Source organism: Homo sapiens, chromosome 13 (genome assembly GCF_000001405.40).
Source record: "Homo sapiens chromosome 13, GRCh38.p14 Primary Assembly".
Classification (NCBI taxonomy): Eukaryota; Metazoa; Chordata; class Mammalia; order Primates; family Hominidae; genus Homo; species Homo sapiens.
In genome coordinates, this window is record NC_000013.11 from 21,576,769 (window position 1) to 21,600,880 (window position 24,112).

Below are 24,112 nucleotides of genomic sequence, written 5' to 3' on the forward strand. Positions count from 1 at the left end.
GTTTGCCTCTCTATCACCAAATCTCTCATGCCCCACCCCTAACCCTATACAAAATTTGCTTAAATACTGGAATTATTTTTTAAAAAGCCCTGCAAAGTATGTTGATTGCACACAAATAGATTTTTTTGAGACAGTTTTGCTCTACAAATAGAAATTTTATCCAAAACAAAAATAGAACAAAAAATTTTAAAACTTTCAGGTAAATGGAATAACGAAGGTTTGAATTCAGGAGCAGATTTGCAATTTCTTACTTAAAAAATTATACTTCTTTTAAAAAATTCCATTGACATTATTTCTGAATTGGTCTTTGTACAATTCAGAAAACAAAACGTGTGTAAAACAAATATAGTACTAGCTCTCTTCAATGTCAATCTCAGTTTTGATCACTGTTAACAAGATTTTCCTAAAACAGATTTGACTTGCTGGGGTGTCCTTAGAGCTTCAGCATTCACTTGACTGACTTACATTAACTTGAGTAAACCTTTCCAAAAGACAGATTAAATAACCACTTACTTGCCTCTAATTAAAACACCTTACAAAGCTAAGCATGTAATATAGCCTCCCTTTTTAATTTGGCTAACTTACTTGTTAAGAATTAATTCTGGGCTGAGCTTGGTGGCTCATGTCTGTAATCCCAGGACTTTGGGAGGCTGAGGGAAAAGGATCACTTCAGGCCAGGAGTTGTAGACCAGCCTGGGCAACACAGCAAGACCCTGTTTCTACAAAAATTTAACAAATAAAAAAATTACCCAGATGAGGCTGGGCGTGGTGGCTCACACCTGTAATCCCAGCACTTTGGGAGGCCGATGTGGGTGGATCACAAGGTGAGGAGTTCAAGACCAGTGGCCAACATGGTGAAACCCTGTCTCTACAAAAATACAAAAAAATTAGCTAGGTGTGGTGGCGTGCACCTGTAATCCCAGCTACTTGGGAGGCTGAGGTGGAAGAATTGCTTGAACCCGGGAGACAGAGGTTGCAGTGAGCCAGGATCATGCCACTGCACTCCAGCCTGGGTGACAGAGCGAGACTCGGTCTCAAAAAAAAAAAAAAAAAAAAAAAAGTTACCCACATGTGGTGGCGCACACCTATAGTCCTAGCCACTGAGGAGGCTGAGGCAGGAGGATCACTTGAGCTTACGAGTTCAAGGTAACCAGGAGCTATAATTGTGCCACTGCACTCCGGCCTGGGTGACAGATTTTGTCTCCAAAAAAAATTTAAAATAATAATAATAATAATAAATTAAAAGAAAAAAATTCCAGTAGTTATCTGCTCTAGGAGTCCTTCTAGAAGCAGCTATTTTGGGTTAGGTGTCCTCCCTTGTGGGCATATAGAACCCTGAGTAAGTTTTTATCAAAGCCGTAGTAACCCTGCACTGGAATTGCCTGTTTACTACATTGAAGTCCTCAAGAATAGAAAGTATCTTTTTTATTCTGTATCCCCAGTGCCTAGTGCATGGCTAACATGGTAACATTCATGGGTTTTTATGAATGGGAATCAATTCCAAACTCAAAGTGTGTCCTTAAAAAATAATTTTAGAGCTGGGCTTAGTGGCCCACGCCTTTAATCCCAGCACTTTGGGAGGCTGAGGCAGGAAGACTACTCTAGCCCAGGAGTTTGAGACTAGTCTAGGGAACACAGGGAGACCCCATCTCTAAAAAATATTTAAAAAATTAACTCAGGCATGGTAGCACATGTCCATGGTCCCAGCTACTCAGGAGGCTGAAGTGGGAGGATCACTTGAGCCTGCGAGGTTGAGACTGCAGTAAGCCAGTGAGCCATGATTGCGCCACTGGACTCCAGTCTAGGTCACAGAGTGAGACCACATCTCAAAAAAAAAAAAATATTTTAGTCTGTGAACCAATATGCAAAAGTGGGTTATGCTGATGTATTTTAAAGCCTTATTAATAATTTACTGAAATATCTTTAGATAACCAGGTATATACTCTGCTATGTGCAACCTCACTAAAGATATACACAAATAGGGGCCCTTTAGTTTCCCTTTAACTGTAAATTACTGCATATTGCTAATTACTTTAGATTTTAAAAATGCCTTTGTAACAAGAGGAAAGAGGTAAAGCCATTGACAGGTGGTGGCAGTGTTAACTGTACCAAAGGATACTGCCTTATTTTTCGCTAAGCATAGAAATCATGGAATCTTAGAAACAGAATGCTCTGAAACTGGATTACACCAGCTGCTTCACATTCTCCTGTAAATCTGAATGAATGACTTGATGGATTTCAGGCCTTATACCATGGTTGATTAAGGTTTTAGTGGAGTTTTTCAGCTTCATCTTGGAGTACATTAACAGACTGTAATGAGATATTTCTAAGATAAAATTCTGCTAATAAAATGTACTTACAGGAAATGAGCAAAGAATGAGCCAGATATTATACCAAAACAGGTAGTTTACCAGCAAAGGTACTAAGATACATGCAATTCATATTTCTGTTCTTGTTTATTAATTAAATCACCAGTAAATAAACATATAAATTGCACAATACAAAAATAAAGTAATACAGATATGATTATATAATATTCTGGCAAATTAATGTATTATTTAAGCAAAGCTCTGCCTTTTTTTTTTTTTTGAGATGGAGTTTCATTCTTGTTGCCCAGATTGGAGTGCAATGATGCAATCTTGGCTCACTGCGACCTCTGCCTCGTGGGTTCAAGAGATTCTCCTGCCTCAGCCTCCTGAGTAGCTGGGATTACAGGCTCCCGCCACCACGCCAAGCTAATTTTTTGTATTTTTAGTAGAGAAGTGGTTTCACTATGTTGGCCAGGCTGGTCTTGAACTCCTGACCTCAGGCGATCCACCCACCTCAGCCTCCCAAAGTGCTGGGATTATAGGCGTGAGCCACCACGCCCGACTCAAAGCTCTGCTTTATATCAGTTATGAACACATATAGAGCAAATCATTGAAGATCTAGCACAAATTTGCCAAAGTCTCCCTTTCTGCTTTTACCTTATTCTTTCTGAAATATTTTGTAAGATACCCATGGTCTCAAAAAAATATTAAATATATAATCCAATAAAATACATCATTAACTGAAAAAAAAATCTATGCTCTCAGTAATTTCTGAGGATACTTTTAACAGTGAAGATTCTAAAAAATTTCATTGCAGAATTTGCAGTATAACGACGGAAACCAAACAAGTTTTGCGGTTTTTTTGGTTATTTTTCTGTTTTGCTTTACAGTAGCACCAAGCATAACTAAAGTAAAACTACTACTAAATATGTAGAAAACAATTTCTCACTTTACTACTTCAATTGCCACCACTACTAGAACCAGGGTCACTTTTCTCCTTCAACTGCCTCTACCCATTTTTCTTTTACAACAGTTGGTGTCAAATGGGGAAATGTGAGTGCTACATCTTAACCTCAAGCACAGGAAGCAGTATAAAATTATGCCAGTGAATCATATACTAAGTAAAATTGTTAGCATTTGCCCAGGCAGCAGTGAGGTCTACACCAAATACAAAGTTCTCTGGTGCAGGTTAAAGAAAAATCTTTACCTTGATCCCCAAGAATTTTGGAATCTTATATGAGAAACAAAACCAGTGAAAACTTGTAGTTTATAAGTTGTTACATACATACTTTTAAGGGTAGGCATGGACAGAGCTAGCATTTGGGTAATCTTTCCCTTTTAAAACTTATTGGCGAATCTACTCCTGTGTCTTTATAATCAAGAATAATCCTAGTTAGATCTTGGGAAGAGAGGGGAGCAGACATTTGTAGACTAGAATAGACAGAGCCTGATATTCTACAATGATCCAGGCAACCTAAATCTCCAAACTTGAATTGCTTGTGAAGTACTCTTAAATATTTAAGAGTAACTCTTAAATATTTGAAAACTCAAATGAATTTTGTCACTTTTAGTCTAAAATTAGTTTCTAAATATTTATGGGCTATTGTTTAGATAGTCTCTTAACTTATAACTTTATAAAACTTCATGTAAGTAACAAATATTATTACCAGTATTAATAATATTCCTGAAATTATGGGTATACTCCTTAGGCTGTGAAAACTTGAATACCCCAACTCACTTACAGGCTGGAGGATGAATAAACTTGAAGAAGCTCCCTTGAACAATGAAGGTTAGTGGCAACAGACAAAGGTGTCTGTTCCATTTATAAAGGTGTAAACAGGATAAGCTAGTAAAACAGGGCTAACTGGGTTAGAATAGAGAATGTACAGAGTCAGAACAAAAGAGATGAACTAGTGAAGAGCAAGAGGCAAACATCAACAATTACCTGATCTGAAGGTAACAGCAGGTAAAAATTAGCAGTAATATAGTGACATAATCAAAGCAGTGAAGTGGAAAATAAGTTTAGATCTAGCCTTTGAAACATTTTATGTGAAGGATAAATACTAAGAACTAGGAAGAGACAAGGATGTAACCTGAAAATTTAGAGCAGAGGTTCTGCAACCTCCACCTCCTGGGTTCAAGCAATTCTCGTGCCTCAGCCTCTTGAGTAGCTGGGATTACAGGCATGCACCACCACACCAGGCTAATTTTTGTATTTTTAGTAGAGATGGGGTTTCACCATGTTGACCAGGCTAGTCTCAAACTCCTGGCCTCAAGTGATCCACCCACTTTGGCCTCCCAAAGTGCTGGGATTACAGGTGTGAGCCACTACTCTGCCTACAGCAGAGGTTGTTAACCTTACATGACATAATCATACTTCTGGGGTTCATAACTCCCTGAAATCTGTGTGAAACATGTTTGTGCATTTTTTTGGGAAAGAGTATGTAACTTTTACCACATAATCAGATTCACACCCTATTCAAAGATCAGGAAAAATGACAAAGATGAATGATAAAATGGTAAAATACAATAATTAGTAAAATAAAATGTCTCAATTTTAAGTAGTGCACGTTAGAATAATGTATATAGTTAATGAAGTTTAAACAGCTGAGATGAATATTTGACTCAGTCCCTTTTTGATATCTAGTAGTAAAGGTCTCTTTTAAAATTTAAGTGAAAAGAGCTTACCCAACATGACTAAGTATGAAATGTAAAATCTATTAATTCCAGGTCGTCTAAAAATGTCACCAGCTAAAGCAGATTAATTAAAATAAAGAATACACACAACTGCTATCTAGCACAAATAAAGCAAAGAACTACAGGAAATCATTGCTACACAAAATTTTTTAATAAAAGCTTGGTCTTTAACAAAACCTTACATGCATATCTGCATAATTCTGATTTTTGTTTTCACTATACCTTTTCCTGGATGTGGCAACAAAGCCACTGCGGGGTGCCTTCCCCTGCTCTATATAAGTAAGTGGCCATCACATTAACTATGATAAATACTTATAGCTTTTAGTAGAGAAACAACTAAAGAGAAATACGGGTGACAAGAGACTGGAGAGCAAGGAGACAGGGGCAAGGGCTAGTCTCCAAAAGGGCCTGGACAGCTTACTTTCCCTCTAATGACACAATGTGGAACTACAATAATCATGTCTTAGCTTTAGCACTAAATAGCTTTATTTCTATAAAAACTCTATCTACTGAAGATACAATAGCCAAAACTTTTAACAGTAACTAGTCTTCTCAAGTCATCATAAGAAGAGGATGGTTTTTTACAAGTTTCCTTTTGACTTTTCCCCTAATTTTTCTATAATATACATGTATTTCAATAAGAAAAAAAGCCAACATAAGTAATTTTTAAAAAAGAATTGAGAAACAAGCAACAGCTCTAGCCCCCTTCCTGATATATATCAAAGAATTTCAGTAAACATAAATTATTATTTTGTTAGATATGAGTTCTAAATTTCTCTTCAAAGAATATGTACGTTCAATTATTTGCTTTCTACTTTTAAACTTAACTTCCTTCTAAAACAACCTTTTTCGATTACCTGCTCCACCCTGACTCATTCTAATTACCTGCTCATTCTCCACACTGACTCATTCCAATTTCCTGCTCTGCCATAAGTGTTTTTCCCACCAAACCACTCACCCCGTCACTCTCTTTAGCCAATTGGAATTAGTTTAGCCTGTGCGGTCTAACCCTAGCCAATAGGGGAAAGACACAGCAGCAGGGGCCACGTGCATCAGGGGTAAGAACCCCTTCCCCTCCCTTGTCCAAGTGTGCGCTCACCATTGTTCCATCTGTAAGGGCGCACTCTTCTGTAGAAGTACATTGCCTTGCTGAGAATTAAAAAGAAAAATTTATATTCGAGTGCTATTTCTTTTGCAGCGTGGAAACTTCATTTATAACCATTTCTTCAGTGTTTCAGGAAGCAATCTTTTTACAACTATAATTTAAGATGGATTTAAGCACTGCCTAATGGTCAAGTCTACTAATGAAATACAAAGTACTAGTTTAAAAACAAAAAGGCTGGGCTAGCTCATGCCTGTAGTCCTAGCTACTCGAGAGATTGAGGAGGGAGGCCTGCTTGGGTCTAGGAGTTTGCCTTGAGCTATGATTGCACCACTATGCTCTGGCCTGGGCGACAGAGACCTTGTCTATATAAGTAGAAAACAAAAACAAAAACAAAAAAGTTGCAGTATTAAATAAATAAACATGCTTCAATCACTGATAAAAAGTGATCAGTCAGTATTAAGTTTTTTAAAAAATAAAAGTGTGTCTCTGTAAAATACACTACTGATTGCCTTTGTATTGCAACGGTTTCCTGGTTGAACCCCAATGCTTCCTCATAATCATTATTTTCTGGCTTGCCATTAAAGTATCTTACACTTGGTATGTCTGAGAATAGGAAATACTAGGACAGACAAGTCTTTCATATATACTTCAACATATGTAGGCTGCTGGATCAGTTATCATCTGATAATTAAATGAGCCTTTGGGAAGTGCTCAGCTGTTTCCTGTTTTTCCTTTGCAGTAGGGCAGTCACAGCTCCATGCATGGGGCTCCCGCTAAAGCAACAGTCAAAGCAGTACTACTACCATCACCGAAAGAGCAGTTCCCTGACCTGAAATTCAATCCTGGAGCATTCCAAGCATTCCAGAACTTCCCAGGACTGGGCCTGAATGGAGGCAGAGCCATATTGAAAATGTGCTGATTTGAGCTGGTTTCTTAACTGGGCAATTATGACCAAGTTAAACTGAAAAAGTTTTTGTCCTTAAAACAACAGTGTGATTTAATCTCCTGACATTTAAGAAACATAGAAATCAACCCATTTACAGCTTCTCACTGTATATAATCTTCTAATTGCATATACTAGTGAATAAGAAAAATGACATAATTTCAAACAGTAGATGTGCTGCATTATTCATATTTTCCTTTGAAATATCTGGAACAGTTTGTAGAAACACATTGTGCTTTCATATTTAAGGGTTCATTTTGCCTAATTTTAAAAATGGTTTGCACTGGCCAGGCACGGTGGCTCACGCCTGTAATCCCAGCATTTTGGGAGGCTGGGGCGGGTGGATCATGAGGTCAGGAGATCGAGACCATCATGGCTAACAGGGTGAAACCCCGTCTCTACTAAAAATACAAAAAATTAGCTGGGCGTGGTGGCAGGCGCCTGTAGTCCCAGCTACTCGGGAGGCTGGGGCAGGAGAATGGTGTGAAGCTGGGAGGCGGAGCTTGCAGTGAGCCGAGATCACACCACTGCACTCCAGCCTGGGTGACAGAGCGAGACTCCATCTCAAAAAAAAAAAAAAAGGTTTGCATTTCCAGGGTACATACAGCTAAGTGATGAGGGACTGAGGACAAAGATGCCTGCGATCTTAAGGTATACAAGTTTCTAGTACACAACACACAAAGTTAATGATATCCATGTGGATAAATTTCAGATTTTATAACACCTTATTTCCTTAGAAATATCTATGAACTATCTATGGAACCACATATCTATGGAACTTTCATAGATGTCTATGAAAATTTTAAGTCCAGGCTATACTTAAAAAATATGATTCATTATTATTTTTATATTGAAATTACTTATACTCTGAAAACATTTAATAATGTTATTTATGAAGTTATTGAGACAATATATTTACTACTAATTTACTCTACCAAATATTTACTGCTTTTTAAACTATAAATAAAACATTTAAATTCATATACTGCTACTATTAGTGGCTTATGGTGTGTTTATGCACTGTTGTAATTCATAAAACCCCAAAATTCACAGTAACAGAAGCATAATTTGTATATATTAGCTACTAAAACACATGGTTTATAGAACAAGAACAAACAGTAATATTTACTTGGATTCCACTAAACAATATAAATGCAAAAGAAAAGGTTAAATATACTTTGCTGTTACAATTTGTTGTTCTTTCCCCCAGAAGAGTCACTGTATAGATTTACAGTAGGATCGTTAACTACTGTCCTATTACACAATGAAGGAATGTAAGACAACCTCTCATTCATGCAGGACAAACAGCTATGCCAAAAGCACAAATTACATCTAATTACAGGGTATAACTTTGTCATCTCTCTTTTCATAATCTAGCCATTTACAACTTTGATTTTTGACTTCCATTTGGGTTTATTAACATCATAGCTTTGTCATCACCTGTTTCTACAGATATTTTTACCTGAGGCAGTAAAGTATAAAAACTTCTTTGCATTCTTCCTTTACTGTTGCAAGAAAGCTTTAGTCTTCACTGGGATTACAATGTTTCATGGTTATTAAACTTCTGTATGTTGCTATAAAGTTTACTGCTCTTGGCCTACCAATTTTACATGTACTGTCATTAAACCAATGCACTGCACACAAATATACTAGCAGTACACTCCAATAAGTTCCAGTTTTACCTACTGTTAATGTCCTATTAGCATATATATTTTTTCTTTTTCACAAAAATAATCACTACAAATCTATGGTCAGACAGCTTGAAATAAAAGAAAACAATGCCAATTTAATTTTATGATTAGGGCTCTTATAGCAAATTCAAATAGATCCATCTTATTAACTACATTGAGTGTTTAAAATATTCACTGACATGCAATAGACAAAGATTCTACAACTAATAAAACTGCAAATTCACTTCCTAAGTTATTAATAATATAGTTCTGCTTGTTTAAACATAACGGTCCACATTTCTTGCTTTTATTTAACATCTGTAATCATCTCTTTTAGTCAGATTGTACTCACAAAATAAAAAATGAGTTCAAAATATGAATTTAAATAATATCAAAGAAAAGCAAACCATCTAGTATTCTCTATTTTAGAATTTTGACAATTTTTAAATTTAATGCCCAATATATTACTTGTATTAAACTCAAATACCAAGGTTTATGAAAAAACATTTTTTAGATAATACTTTACAGCAACATTAAAAAACCCCAATTAGCTGACTCACTAGAAGAAAGCCATTAGAAGTTTGTGGCAATTGGTCCTATATTTATCATAATTGTTGCATCTCAGCTCTCATGGTTCAGTTTCACAGTTTTGTAAATTATCCCCTCTCCCCCTAACTATCTGGGTTACCCGCTCCAGTAGCAGACTAAGATCCCTCTGATGATTACAGATCCCTGAATCTACTTTTTCAGAGCAGTTCACTATCCGTTTTTTTCTTTAAGCCTTTTTTAATAGAAGGAAAATGTAGAATTAGTCTATAATCAGCTTCTAGAATTTACTATACCCTCTGCTTTCATTCCTGTTGCAACAGAAAAAATATCCCTGCTGCTATGAAAATCCAACTTTTCTACTTGTGTTTTTTGTTTGTTTTTTTAAAGATAGGGTCTTGGTCTGCCGTCTAGGCTAGAATGTAACGGTGTGATCATGGTTCATTGCAGCCTCAGCCTCCCAGGCTCAAGAGATCCTTCCACGTCAGCCTGTCAAAGAGCTGGGACTACAGATGCACACCACCAATCCTGGCCATTTTTTTTTCTATTTTTTTGTAAAGATGAGATCTTGCTGTATTGCCCAGGCTGGCCTCAAACTCCTGGCCTCAAGTAATCCTCCTGCCTCGGCCTTCAAAGCACTGGGATTATAGGAGGGAGCCAACACACCTGGCGTGTTACAGCATATATTTTAGTCTTCCTTATAGCTTAAGCTTATGTTTATTACTCTCATTTTTCTCTCCATTTAAAAATTCTAACTTGCGCAGCATTTTTCTAAGTCACTAAATCTTTCTAGTATCAAGGTCAGCATAAATATACAAACATTTAAATATAGTATGTAAAAATGATGCATTAAAGTTGGTGAGAGAAGATGCTTAATTTTGTTTTCCTAGAAGCTGCTCTCCCAGGCATCTTCTTCCCTCTTTCCCATTATTATTTGTCTGACATTCCAGAGAGTATAATCTATATCCTAGGAAAATTATCTGTCATTTTGTACATCAAAGCTAAAAGCTCTCCTCTCTCAGATGGGTTAATCAAGACTTGGTTGCACCCTCTCTTCCTTCCTCCCCTTTGCCAGGGACGAGGGGAGGAGAGAACCGAGTATTCAAGGCACCAGCTTTCAGGAGACTGGTTACATATGGGGCAATTGAGTATCAAAATAAATGGACTCTTTGAGTAAAATGGGAATCCATGAGTCCGTAGATATAAATGAATAAATGAGTAAACAGTGGAGAGGACAAAGCCCTATGAAGCCACAAAATTATCTCCCCACAAAATACTTATTAATGAGTATAAAGTACTTATTAAATTTTTAATGAAGAAACCTGACAGATGTCTTCTTACCAAATGATAAAAGTAATTGTAATTATCAGCAGTAGAAATCTAATTTGTTTACCTCCTAATATGATGCACTGAAAAGGACACAGCATGGCTTTAGTGTTATTTGTGAAAAAAGTGCATGAATCATGAGGAAACATTAACCAAACCTAAATTAAGGAAGATTCTGGAGATAGCCACTACTCAATGATAGGTGAAAATGCTTTAAAACTGCAAATGCAAGTAGGCATAGGAACAATACGAATGGATTATAGATCGGAGGAAAAGCATGCTGATTTCGAAGTGAATTTAGTCATTTTAAGCACAGCTTTAGCTGGACACTCTTACCATTCATTCAACCACTCACTCACTTAACAGTCATTAATTAGTACCTATGATGAACTAGGGACTATACTAAGTATTAGTAAAATGATGAATAAAAGCTGAATAGTTAGGTATAAGTACTTCAGAATGGTAGTTATAAGATACTAAAAACTAAATGTGCACTTTAAGTAGATGACATTTCAGTGAATACTGAATCTTGATTTTTCTTTTTTGATAGATTCAAAGAAGTCAGACTTTGAACTGCATAGGTGGAGGCATTCTGCTTTCTCTGAACATGAAGACATCCAACTTAAATTTTATTAAGTAAATAATATCAAATTCAGCATTTCAATACAGACCCCAGTGTCAACCAGGAGTCTTGCCCCCCGATGTAGAGCTTTTATGCCATAGTTGGTCCAACGTTCTGCGGACCACTAAAGAGCAAGGATGGACTGCCCCAACCGGTTTTTGTAATTTCCTAAAATCATACATTCATTTTACTAGAGGATCATAGAAGTTAAAGACTTAAAACAAACTTTGGCAATTAAGACAGGATACCAAGATGCAAATGCCTGGTTGGAATGGATCAAATATTCCATCCACACGTTAAACAAAACAATTGTTATGCTTGTGTGCATGGCAGGCCAGAGGCCCAAACTGTCCCCTTTCCACTAAGGTGGTCCTCCAGTTGACCAGGCGTGGGCTGCATGGTAGTTCTTTTCCAGGACCCTACAGCCTCAAGTAATAAGTCATCCCAAGCTCTCTCTGCTATATCCCGAAGTCCAGCACCCTGCAGGTCAGCCCCCAAGGGCCATCTAGCTTCCATCTCCCAACACTAAGTTCACTTCGTGTCTCTCATGACAGGGAGGAAATTTAGCATTCCTTGGAGACTGGAAGGATGCAGTGAGCTTAAGAATTTTCAAGAGCTTATCAATGAGTCAGCCCTTGTTCATCCCCAAGCGGATGTGTGGTGGTATTGTGGTGGACCTTTACTGGACACTCTGCCAAATAACCAGAAGTGGCACTTGTGCTTTAGTCCAGTTGGCTATCCCTTTCACCCTAGCATCTCATCAACCAGAGGAAGGAAAAATAAGACATCGTAAAGCAAGAGAAGCCCCTTGGATCTTTCGACTCTCAGGTCTGTTTAGACACAATTAGAATCTCGCGGGGAATACCAGATCAATTTAAAGCCCAAAATCAAATAGCTGCAGGATTTAAGTCAATATTTTGATAGGTAACAATAAAAATGTAGATTAGATAAACCACATCTACTACAACCAACAGCGATTTATTAACTACACTAAAAATGCTATTAAAGGAAAGCTGAACAATTAAGGGCTACTAGCCAGATGGCTTGGGAAAATAAGATAGCCTTAGACATGATATTAGCAGAAAGAGTAGGAGTTTGCATCATGATTAAAACTCAATGTTGCACCTTCATCCTAAACAACACTGCCCCTAATGGAAGTATAACAAAGGTACTGCAAGGTCTGACTTCTCTACCCAATGAGTTAGCCTGCAACTCAGGGGTAAATGACCCCTTTACAGGATGGCTAGAAAAGTGGTTTGGTAAATGGAAAGGAATAATAGCCTCAATTCTTACTTCCCTCACAGCCGTAATGGGTGTACTTATTCTTGTCAGGTGCTGTGTCATACCATACATCCGTAGGTTGGTGCAGAGGCTCATAAAAACGGCACTTACTAAAACCTCCCTTAACTATCCTCCACCTTATCCAGAGAAGCTTCTTCTTTTGGAAAATCAAGCAAAACAACTAAGCCAAGACATGTTAAAAAAACTTTGAAAAGAAAGCTGTTAAGGAAACACAAGGGTAGGGGTTGTTAGATATGAGTTCTAAATTTCTCTTCAAAGAATCAATATGTCAGTATGTTCAATTCTTTGCCTTCTACTTTTAAACTTAACTTCCTCATAAAGCAACCTTTTTCGATTACCTGCTCCACCCTGACTCATTTCAATCACCTGTTCCACCCTGACTCATTCGGATTACCTGCTCCACCCTGACTCCTTCCGATTACCTATTCCACCCTGACTTCATGATTCTGATCACCTGTTCTGTCATAACCATTTTTCCCACCAAACCACTCACCCCGTAGTGCACTCTCTTTAAATTACCCAATTGAAATTAGTTTAGCCTGTGCAGTCTAACCCTAGCCAATGGAAAAATACAGCAGCAAGGGTCACGTGCGTCAGGGATAAGAACCTCTTTCCCTCCCTTGTCCAAGTGTGCGCTCACCATTGTTCCGTCTGTAAGGGCGCACCCTTCTATAGAAGTACCTTGCCTTGCTGAGAATTAAAAGAAAATTTTATATTTGAGTGCTATTTCTTTTGCAGCACCAAAACTTTATATATAACACTAGCAAGACAGGCCAACATGCAGATTCAGGAAATACAGAGAACACCATTAAGATACTCCATGAGAAGATCAACCAACCCCAAGACACATAATCAGATTCTACAAGGTCAAAATGAAGGAAAAACTGCTAAGGGCAGCCAGAGAGAAAGGCCAAGTCACCTACAAAGGGAAGCCCATCAGACTAACAGTGGAACTCTTAGCAGAAACTCTACAAGCCAGAAGAGACTGAGGGCCAATATTCAACATTCTTAAAGAAAATAATTTTCAACCCAGAATTCCATATTCAGCCAAAGTAAGCTCCATAAGCGAAGGAGAAATAAAATCCTTTCCAGACAAGCAAATGATGAGTGATTTCATTACCACCAGGCCTGCCCTGCAAGAGCTCCTAAAAGAAGCACGATATCAAATATCTTGTTTAAAAATAAATCTTCTCTTTGTGGTCACTTTCAAAATTTAAACAAAATAAAACATCCATTAAAACATGTTCCTATTCTTATTCTTCACACCCAGGAACTGAAAATGTTAAAAGGTTAGAAAATAAGAATTGGTCGGGCGTGGTGGCTCACGCCTGTAATCCCAGCACTTTGGGAGGTCAAGAGATCGAGACCATCGTGGCCAACATGGTGAAACCCCCGTTTCTACTAAAAATACAAAAAATTAGCTAGGTGTGGTGGCATTTGTCCGTAGTCCCAGCTACTCAGGAGGCTGAGGCAGGAGGATCGCTTGAACCCAAGAGGTGCAGGTGGCAGTGAGCCAAGATCGCGCCACTGCACTCTAGCCTGGCGACAAAGCGAGACTCTGTCTCAAAAAACACAAAACAAACAAACAAAAAGAAGCACTAAATATGGAAAAGAAGAACTGATACCAGCCAGTGCAAAAACACACAAAAATATAAAGAGCAATGACATTACGAAGAAACTGCATCAACTAGTGTGCAAAATAACTAAATAGCATCATGATGACAGGATCAAATTCACACGTAACAATAGTAACCTTAAATATAAATGGGCTAAATGCCCCAATAAAAAGACACAGACTGGCAAATTGAATAAAGAGTCAAGACTCATCGGTGTGTTGTATTTAGGAGACGTGCAAAAACACATACAGGCTCAAAATAAAGGGATGGAGGAAAATTCACCAAGCAAATGGAAAGCAAAAAAAAAAAGCAGGGGTTGCAATCCTAGTCTCTGACAAAACAGACCTTAAATCAACAAAGACAAAAAAAGACAAAGAAGGGCATTACATAATGGTCAAGGGAACAATTCAACAAGAGCTATTCTAAATATATAGGCACCAATACAGGAGCACCCAGATTCATAAAACAAGTTGTTAGAGACCTACAAAGAGAAGAGACTTGGACTCCCACACAATATTAGTGGGGGACTTTTAACACCCCACTGTCAGTATTGGATAGATCAATGAGACAGAAAATTAACATGGATATTCAAGACTTGAACTCTGCTCTGGATCAAGTGGACCTAGTAGACATCTACAGAACTCTCTACCCCAAATCAACAGAATATACATTCTTCTTAGAGCCACATGGCACTTATTCTAAAACTGATCACATAATTGGAAGTAAAACACTCCTCAGGAAATGCAAAAGAACTGAAATCACAGCACTCTCTCAGACCACAGTGCAATCAAATTAGAACTCAGGATTAAGAAACTCACTCAAAACCACACAATTTCATGGAAATTGAACAACCTGCTCCTGAATGACTCCTGGGTAAATAAAGAAATTAAGGGAGAAATCAACAAGTTCTTTGAAACCAATGAGAACAAAGAGATATCTCTGGGACACAGCTAAGGCAATGATAAAGGGGAAATTTATAGCACTAAATGCCCACATCAGAAAGCTAGAAAAATCTCAAATCAACACCCTAACATCAGAATTAAAAGACCTAGAGAGGCAAGGGCAAATTAATTCGAAAGTTAGCAGATGACAAGAAATAACTAATATCAGAGAAGCGTTGAAGGAGATAGAGACAAGAAAATCCTCCAAAAAAAAAAAATCAACAAATCCAGGAGCTGGTTTTTTGAAAAAAAATTAACAAAATAGATAAACTACTAGCTAGAATAAAGAAGGGAGAGCAGAATCAAATAGACACAATGAAAAATGATAAAGGGGATATCACCACTGACCCCACAGAAATACAAACTACCATCAGAAAATACTATAAACACCTCTACGCAAATAAACTAGAAAATCTAGAAGAAATGGATAAATTCCTGGACACATACACCTTACCAAGACTAAATCAAGAAGAAGTCGAATCCTTGAATAGACCAATAACAAGCTGGGAAACTGAGGCAGTAATTAACAGCCTACCAACCAAAAAAGCCCAGGACCAGATGGATTCACAGCTGAATTCTACCAGAAATACAAAGAGGAGTTGGTACCATTCCTTCTGAAACTATTCCAAGTAACTGAAAAGGAGGGACTCCTCTCAAACTCATTTTATGAAGAGCATCATCCTGATACCAAGATCAGGAAAAGACACAACAAAAAAAGAAAACATAAGGCCAATATCCCTGATGAACATTGATGCGAAAATCCTCAATAAAACACTGGCAAACCCAATCAATCCAGCAGCACATCAAAAAGTTTATCCACCACGATCAAGTCGGTTTCATCCCTGGGATGCAAGGGTGGTTCAACATACGCAAATCAATAAACATAATCCATCACATAAACAGAGCCAAAGACAAAAACCACACGATTATCTCAATAGATACAGAAAAGGCCTTTGATAAAATTCAACATCCCTTCATGTTTAAAAACTCTCAATAAACTAGGTATTGATGGAACATATCTCAAAATAATAAGAGCTATTTAAGACAAACCCACAGCCAATATCATATTCAATAGGCAAATGCTGGAAGCATTCCCTTTGAAAACCAGTACAAGACGAGGATGCCCTCTCTCACCACTCGTATTCAACAGAGTACTGGAAGTTCTGGCCAGGGCAATCAGGCAAGAGAAAGAAATAAAGGGTATTCGAATAGGAAGACAGGAAGTCAAGTTGTCTCTGTTTGCAGACAACATGATTTTATATTTAGAAAATCGCATCATCTCAGCCCAAAAACTTCTTGAGCTGATAAGCAACTTCAGCAGTCTCAGGATCCAAAATCAATGTGCAAAAATCACAAGCACTCCTTTACAACGATAGGCAAGCAGAGAGCCAAATCATGAGTGAACTCCCATTCACAACTGCTACAAAGAGAATAAAAATACCTAGGAATACAGCTAACAAGGGATGTGAAGGACCTCTTCAAGAAGAACTACAAACCACTGCTCAATGAAATAAAAGAGGACATAAACAAATGGAAAAACATTCCTTGCTCATGGATAGGAAGAATCAATATTGTAAAAATGACCAGACTGTCAAAAGTAATTTATAGATTCAATGCTATTCCCATCAAACTATCATTGACACTCTTCCCAGAATTAAAAAAAAAACACAAAAACTATTTCACATGCAATCACAGAAGACCCCATATTGCAAAGACAATCCTAAGCAAAAAAAAAAAAAAAAAAAAAAACAAAGCTGGAGGCATCATGCTAACTGACTTCAAACTATGCTACAAGGCTACAGTAACCAAAACAGCATGGTACTGGTACCAAAACAGACATATAGACCAATGGAGCAGAACAGAGACCTCAGAAATAATGCCACACATCTACATCCATCTGATCTTCAACAAACCTGACAAAAACAAGCAATGGGGAAAGGATTACCTATTTAATAAGTGGTGCTGGGAAAACTGGCTAGCCATATGCAGAAAACAGAAACTGGACGCCTTCCTTACACCTTATACAAAAATTAACTCAAGATGGATTAAGACTTAAATGTAAAATCCAAAACCATAAAAACCCTAATAGAAAACCTAGGCAATACCATTCAGGACACAGGCATGGGCAAAGACTTCATGACAAAAATGCCAAAAGTAATTGCAACAAAAGCCAAAATTGACAAATGGGATCTAATTAAAGTAAAGAGCTTCTGCACAGCAAAGGAAACTATCATCAGGGTGAACAGGCAACTTACAGAATGGGAGAAAATTTTTGCAATCTACCCATCTGACAAAGGTCTAATATACAGAATTTACAAGAAACTTAAACATATTTATAAGAAAAAAAGAAACAACCCCACCAAAAAGTGGGCAAAGGATATGAACAGACATTTCTCAAAAGAAGACATTTACACGGCCAACAAACATGAAAAAGAGCTCATCATCACTGGTCATTAGAGAAATGCAAATCAAAACCACAATGAGATACCATCTCATGCCAGTCAGAATGGTGATTATTAAAAAGTCAGGAAACAATAGATACTGGCAAGGCTATGGAGAAATAGGAACACTTTTACACTATTGGTGGGAGTGTAAATTAGTTCAACTATTGTGGAAGACAGTGTGGCGACCTCAAGGATCTAGAACCAGAAATACCATTTGACCCAGCAATCCCATTACTGGGTATATAACCAAAGGAATATAAATCATTCTACTATGCAGACACATGCACACGTATGTTTACTGCAGCAGTATTTACAATAGCAAAGACATGGAACAAACCCAAATGCCCATCAATGACAGATTGAATAAAGAAAATGTGGTACATATATACCATACAATACTATGCAGCCATAAAAGGGAATGAGATCATGTCCTTTGCAGGGACATGGATGAAGCTGGAAGCCATCATCCTCAGCAAACTAACACAGGAACAGAAAATCAAACACCACATGTTCTCACTCATAAATGGAAGCTGAACATTGAGAACCCATGGATGCAGAGAAGGGAACAACACACACCCGGGCCTGTTAGGGGGTGGGGATTGAGGGGAGGGAACTTAGAGGATGGGTCAACAGGTGCAGCAAACCACCATGGCACACATATACCGATGTAACAAACTTGCATGTTCTGCACATGTATCCTGTTTTTGTTTTGTTTTTTAGAATAAAGAAAAACCAACTAAAGACAAAATTAGAAACTTTATTTTAAGAATAAAAACCAGAAACTTAAAAAGAAAAAAGAAAAGAAAATCTTTACCCTGTACCATTACAAGTAGTCAACTGGGGGTTTCCTTGCTTCTTGAAACCTGGGTGAAACTCTCTAGAACTGTATACCGGCTGTCAATTTATTGTCTCCCAGCTAAAATCCACACTTCTTTGCTTGGTGATACTAGAGCTGGACTCTGTAAACTCTTCTCCTTTGCCAGCTGGGATAACTCTGTCCACAGAAGGCATGGGAGTGACACTGCAAGACAGCAGAGCCAAAAAGGCACTTTCCTCTCAGGTCTCAGTCCACCTTTTGTTATTCAGAACTGGAGCCCAAAGGCCCTCACAGACCAGCCAGAACCACTTCCAATTAGTACTGGTAGGCAGGCATAGTGACTTCAGCTGCACCTTCAGGACACACTGGTGGGTGGCTTCCAAACAGCTTTAATGAACAGCTTCCATGGCAGCTCCAGGGGCCCTTAGGCCACACACAACCCACCAGGCTGCAGCTATGAGCTGCTCCAGGGCACCACCTCTGTGGTAGCTCTAAGCCAGGCCCTCAGGCCACATTCTTCCACCCAGCAGGTCAATACTGTACTCTAGTTCCAGCCCACTCACCCCTTCCACCAATGGTAGGCTCCTTCTACAGACTAGTTGTGGCCTGTGCCATCTGACAAGTTTCTTCAGCTGCAGCAGGCTTTATATTCTTGTGATAGGCACAGCCTCTTGGAAAAGGCTCAATCCCTGCTTTGGGGTGGAGGAGGATACCTCTCCTAAGTCTTTAGTTCCTTCACGGTCCACTCTCCTTCAGCCTATAGGCAGTAGCTACTTTTTGACACCTGCTACTTCTGGACCCCTGTGAGTATTACTCTCTTAGTAGTCAATCACCTTCTACTACTTTTTTACATTAAATTTCCTTCTTCAAATTACTGGTTTGATTTCTTTCTCCTTATTGGACTCTGATAGAGATAAATCCTACCTTTAATTTCACAATCTAGTAATATTCAAAATCCTTCCAGGAGTGTTGCTAAGAACTGCAATGGAGGTACTTGCAATGGAGGTACTTACATTCTCCACGTCTCCTCTTTTGATTGTCACTTCCATTCAGTGCTACTTCTGCTTAAAACCACGGGAGCCTTGTGCAACTCTATCAAAGCACTTGTGCATTTGCTAGGCTTTACTTAAGATGGGCTGAAAGAAGGGGAGATCTTAAGACTACAGAGTTGCTTTTCCAATCCTGTCCTTCCTTCTCCCTCCATCTCCACTCCCAGGACTCACTTCCCCCCACATTTCCTTATATGCTCCAAATTCTTCTGCTTGCATTATGCAAAGCAGCTTTCTCTCACCCCTGAAGCCTAAGTCAGCCACATTCAGGTTCTTTTTTTTTTTTGAGACAGAGTCTGGCTCTGTCACCCAGGCTGGAGTGCAGTGGTGCGATCCTGGCTCACTGCAACCTCCGCCTCCGGGGTTCAAGTGATTCTCCTGCCTCAGCCTTCCAAGTAACTGGGACTACAGGCATGCACCACCATGCCTGGCTAATTTTTGTATTTTTGGTAAAGATGGGGTTTCACCACGTTGGCCAGGCTGGTTTCAAGCCCCTGATCTCAAGCGATACACCCGCCTCGGCCTCCCAAAGTGCTGGGATGACAGGCATGAGCCACTATGCCCGGCCTCACATTCAGGTTCTCATAGGGCTTACTCTCTACCTCAAACACATAGTATGTAAACCAAAGCCATTCTCTTGCTAAGAGGATTTTCAGCCAATTGTTAAGATACAGAGCTTGTTATATTTATATCTTCAGTTGGTGTAAAATGTGTAACATGCATTTGACTAAAATGCAAAAATAGTTTATTAATATAGTTGGTTTTTGCCATGTCAGGATTATTTTCCAAATTTAAAAATAATTTAATTGGCTTGAGGTTTACCAGTTGAAGCATCTCAATAATTGAAATGAAAATATAATCTTAAATTCTAAAATGAATATTTGATATTTTAATGTGATAGCAAAGGACAAAATCTTGCTATATAAAGACAAATATAAATGTTAATAATATATATTAAAAATGCTATCTTATATGTAGTCACAGGTTAAATTGACCCATCTTTAAACTTCAGAGACAAAGGTATATCTATTATTAAAACATTATAGATGTCATCAATTAATTCACCCATTCAATACATATTTACTGCACCTACTATGTGCCAGACTTTTTTCTAGGCCCTTGGGACATAGCAGATAAGAGCGAAGTCTCTTATTTACTTATGTTTTCTAATGGGAATATGGGATGACATGTCTCTATGGCTCTAAGTGTGTAATTTAATATATCTGGGACAGTTAGTAACTTAGCTGATTCTAACCATTTCTAGATATTGGTTGTCTAATATTTCTATAAATGCCAATCAAACCGAAGTTAGAGAAGGTCACTTTGTTATTTAATGCATTTCAGTTCTTTCATTCACCCTAGATAAACATTTATGATGTGACATTATGTGACTGCGATTATTCTAGGTACTAAGAATACAGAGATGAAAAAGACAAGAGGCCATTCTAGTAAGGGGAGACGAAATAAACAAGTATATAAAATAATTTCAGGGCCGGGCGCGGTGGCTCATGCCTGTAATCCCAGCAGGGATTTTGGGAGGCCGAGGCGGGTGGATCACGAGGTCAGGAGATTGAGACCATCCTGGCTAACACGGTGAAACCCCGTCTCTACTAAAAATACAAAAAATTAGCCGGGCGTCATGGAGGGCACCTGTAGTCCCAGCTACTTGGGAGGCTGAGGCAGGAGAATGGCGTGAACCCAGGAGGTGGAGCTTGAAGTGAGTGGAGATCACGCCACTGCACTCCAGCCTGGGCAACAGAGTGAGACTCTGTCTCAAAAAAAAAAAAAAAAAAAGAATTTCAAAGAGCGATAAGTACTATGAAAGAAAAAAACAACAACTGATAACAGAGAAGACTTTTACGTATTTATAAATACAAATGTAAATAAACATATCAAAGAAAATATCAATGAATTTGTATAATAAGGAATTTGTATTTATTTAGATTAAAAAATACAGCATTATAGAGAATGCTATGCAAAATAATTTTATTTTTCAAACAGTAGTGGAAAAATTTTCTATTGAAAAGCAAACAACAACAACAAAAACCTGTTATGAATTAAAAAAAACTAAAGTATCCAATATTACGTATAATTTGGAAAGAAAATTTAGGGAGTAAATGAAATATTCATGCAATTAACGAGTGAACAATAACAAATAAAATATCACTGATATCACTGTTGTCAACTGTGAACTATATTGTATTTTACTTTGGCTTTGCTGTTTTTACTTTTCTTCCCCAGTTTTGGGCATTATTACAATGACTTAAAATAGTAATGGTGCCAGGTGCGGTGGCTCACACCTGTAATCCCAGAACTTTAGGAGGCTGAGGCGGACGGATCACCTGAGGTCAAGAGTTCGAGACCAGCCTGACCAATATGGTGAAACCCCGTCTCTACTAAAAATACAAAAATTAGCTGGGCGTGGTGGCATTCACCTGTAGTCCCAGCTACTTGGGAGGCTGAGACCAGAGAATTGCTTGAACCCGGGAGGCGGAGGTTGCAGTGAGTCGAGATTGCACCACTGCACTCCAGCCTGAGTGACTGAGCAAGACTCCATCTCCAAAAAAAGAAAAAAAAAGTAATGGTTCAGAAAGCTTTACTTTTAGTCTCATCATCTACTGTTGAGTATCTACTTAGTGAAATGGAGGTTTGTTTTAATCAGTTTGGATTTGCCAATATATGATTCTAGCTTATAATAAGGAAATACAATAGTAACCACAACACAGGGGTCCCTAACCCATGGGCCATGGACCAGTAAGGGTCCATGGTCTGTTAGGAACCGGACCACACAACAGGAGGTGAGTGGTAGGTGAAAAGAGCATTACCACCTGAGCTCCACCTCCTGTCAGATCAGTAGCATTAGATTCTGATAGGAGCGCAAAACCTACTGTGAACTGTACTCCTATGAGAATCTAACTAATGCCTGATGATCTGAGGTGCAACAGTTGCATCCCAAAACCACCCCCACCTCCATCAGTGGAGAAACTGTCTTCCATGAAACTAGTCCCTGGTGCCAAAAAGGTTGGGGACCACTGCCTTAACACTTTTATTATTTAAATTCCTGCAGGAAAGAAGTACACTTATACCTTTGCAACTCTAAAACTCTCTAGTTCCTAAACCTCCCTTCTCCATTGAAATAACTTTTTATAATTTCAAAAAATGTATCAAGGCTTAAGAATGAAGCTATCCTTTTATAGCAGAATGGACTGGAACAACAGAATAAGTCTGTCTCCTCCCTTCTATGATTTCTGATTTTACATGTCTGAATCAAATATAACATTGTAATGGGAGTAATACTAAAAGCTTAGAAAAGTTTTCAAATATTGTTTTAAAAGCAGCAGTTTACATAGAAATAACTGATGTGCTAACATGATCTAAAACAAGTTCCACTAAGAATTTCTTTGTAGGAGGCACTATTTTGTTGGCCAGGTATAACAACACCATACATAGACTTGCAATTCAGAGTCTTTACGAATTTATCTTTTAAATGTCTTTTGAATTCATCCACTAATTTAGCTATCATCAACTCTCTCCTGAATTATTGCAACAGCTCCCTAAATCTAGTTTTCAATTCACTCCCTTTACTAAAGTCCCAATACTCTTTCCAAAGGTCAGAAACAAATTTGTGACATAGTATTACATGGACTTATTTATGCATTAAATAGTATGATATGGTGGCAGGTTTAAAAAGTGTTTTCATTTTGAAGAAGTGATACTCTGAGATACTTACAACAACTCTAATATAGTACGAAAATATCTGAGATTTCTGTTGATGACAAAGGCAGTTACTGTAATACCACTATAGCTTGTTGCCTACATTCATTAAATGAAGAAAACATTAAACAATTTATGAAAACAATGAAACAAAATTTTTGTCGATGAAATTTTGTCAATGAAAACAAAAATGTAATCTTTTTTCTAAGTTCATGGATCCCCTAAATTCTATGCATGGACATATGGGGGTCCATGAGGGTTAAGAAATCCTGCAATGGCTTCCTGCTGTCCTCAAGATAAAAATTCCTGTCACATGGCTTATGGGACACTTAATGATCTGATTCCCAGCCATTGCTCACACCCAATTTTGAACCCCATCTTTTGCAGCTCTTACTCTGCTGAGTCCAACTCTTACTTCCAGATCTCTGTAAAGCTATCTCCTTTGCCTAGAAAACTCTTCCCCTTCTCTTTGCCTAGCAAACTTGCAGTCACCCTCCAGGTGTCAACCTACACATAATTCCTTCAGGAAACCAAGACTTTGTGAAATACTCTTCCACTATGCTTCCACAGCACCCAGTATTTAACCCTACCACAGCATTTATCACATTGTATTAAAACTGCCGTTCCCCATTAAACTGTAAGCACATAAACTGTGTCTCTAATCCCTGCTCCTGGCATATTGTCTAGCACAGAGTAAGATTTCAAAACTTGTGAAAGGAAGAAAGTAAAGAAAAAAGGAAGGTTCCAATTTATCTACTGTTTCATGACATGAAACTCTACCCTTAATTCCCGACTGACCCTCACAAATGCAAGCTGTTGGTCACAATGGGAACTAGAAAAGTGTAGGACTCCATTAATATAAATTTATATTTTTATTGGAAAAAAGCACTTAGTGTAATGACTGAAAATGAAGGACATATTCACTATTATTATTATTATTATTTTGAGACGGAGTCTTGCTCTGTCGCCCAGGCTGGACTGCAGTGGCAGGATCTCGGCTCCCTGCAAGCT

General features: G+C 38.2%; 1 protein-coding gene across 4 annotated transcripts in view, besides 4 other annotated features; it reads right to left on the bottom strand.

Moving 5' to 3' along the window:
• Window positions 1-24,112, bottom strand: part of MICU2 (mitochondrial calcium uptake 2) — a 111,480-nt gene that overhangs the window by 84,078 nt on the left and 3,290 nt on the right. The gene's annotated exons all lie outside the window — the stretch shown is intronic.
• Window positions 3,306-3,425: a silencer, noted in NCBI's record as "silent region_5163". NCBI's record gives its function as "represses an Ori minimal core promoter by ATAC-STARR-seq in GM12878 lymphoblastoid cells {active_cell/tissue: GM12878}" and the evidence as "EXISTENCE:reporter gene assay evidence [ECO:0000049][PMID:35858748]".
• Window positions 17,932-18,001: an enhancer, noted in NCBI's record as "active region_7436". NCBI's record gives its function as "activates an Ori minimal core promoter by ATAC-STARR-seq in GM12878 lymphoblastoid cells {active_cell/tissue: GM12878}" and the evidence as "EXISTENCE:reporter gene assay evidence [ECO:0000049][PMID:35858748]".
• Window positions 18,752-18,811: an enhancer, noted in NCBI's record as "active region_7437". NCBI's record gives its function as "activates an Ori minimal core promoter by ATAC-STARR-seq in GM12878 lymphoblastoid cells {active_cell/tissue: GM12878}" and the evidence as "EXISTENCE:reporter gene assay evidence [ECO:0000049][PMID:35858748]".
• Window positions 19,635-19,684: an enhancer, noted in NCBI's record as "active region_7438". NCBI's record gives its function as "activates an Ori minimal core promoter by ATAC-STARR-seq in GM12878 lymphoblastoid cells {active_cell/tissue: GM12878}" and the evidence as "EXISTENCE:reporter gene assay evidence [ECO:0000049][PMID:35858748]".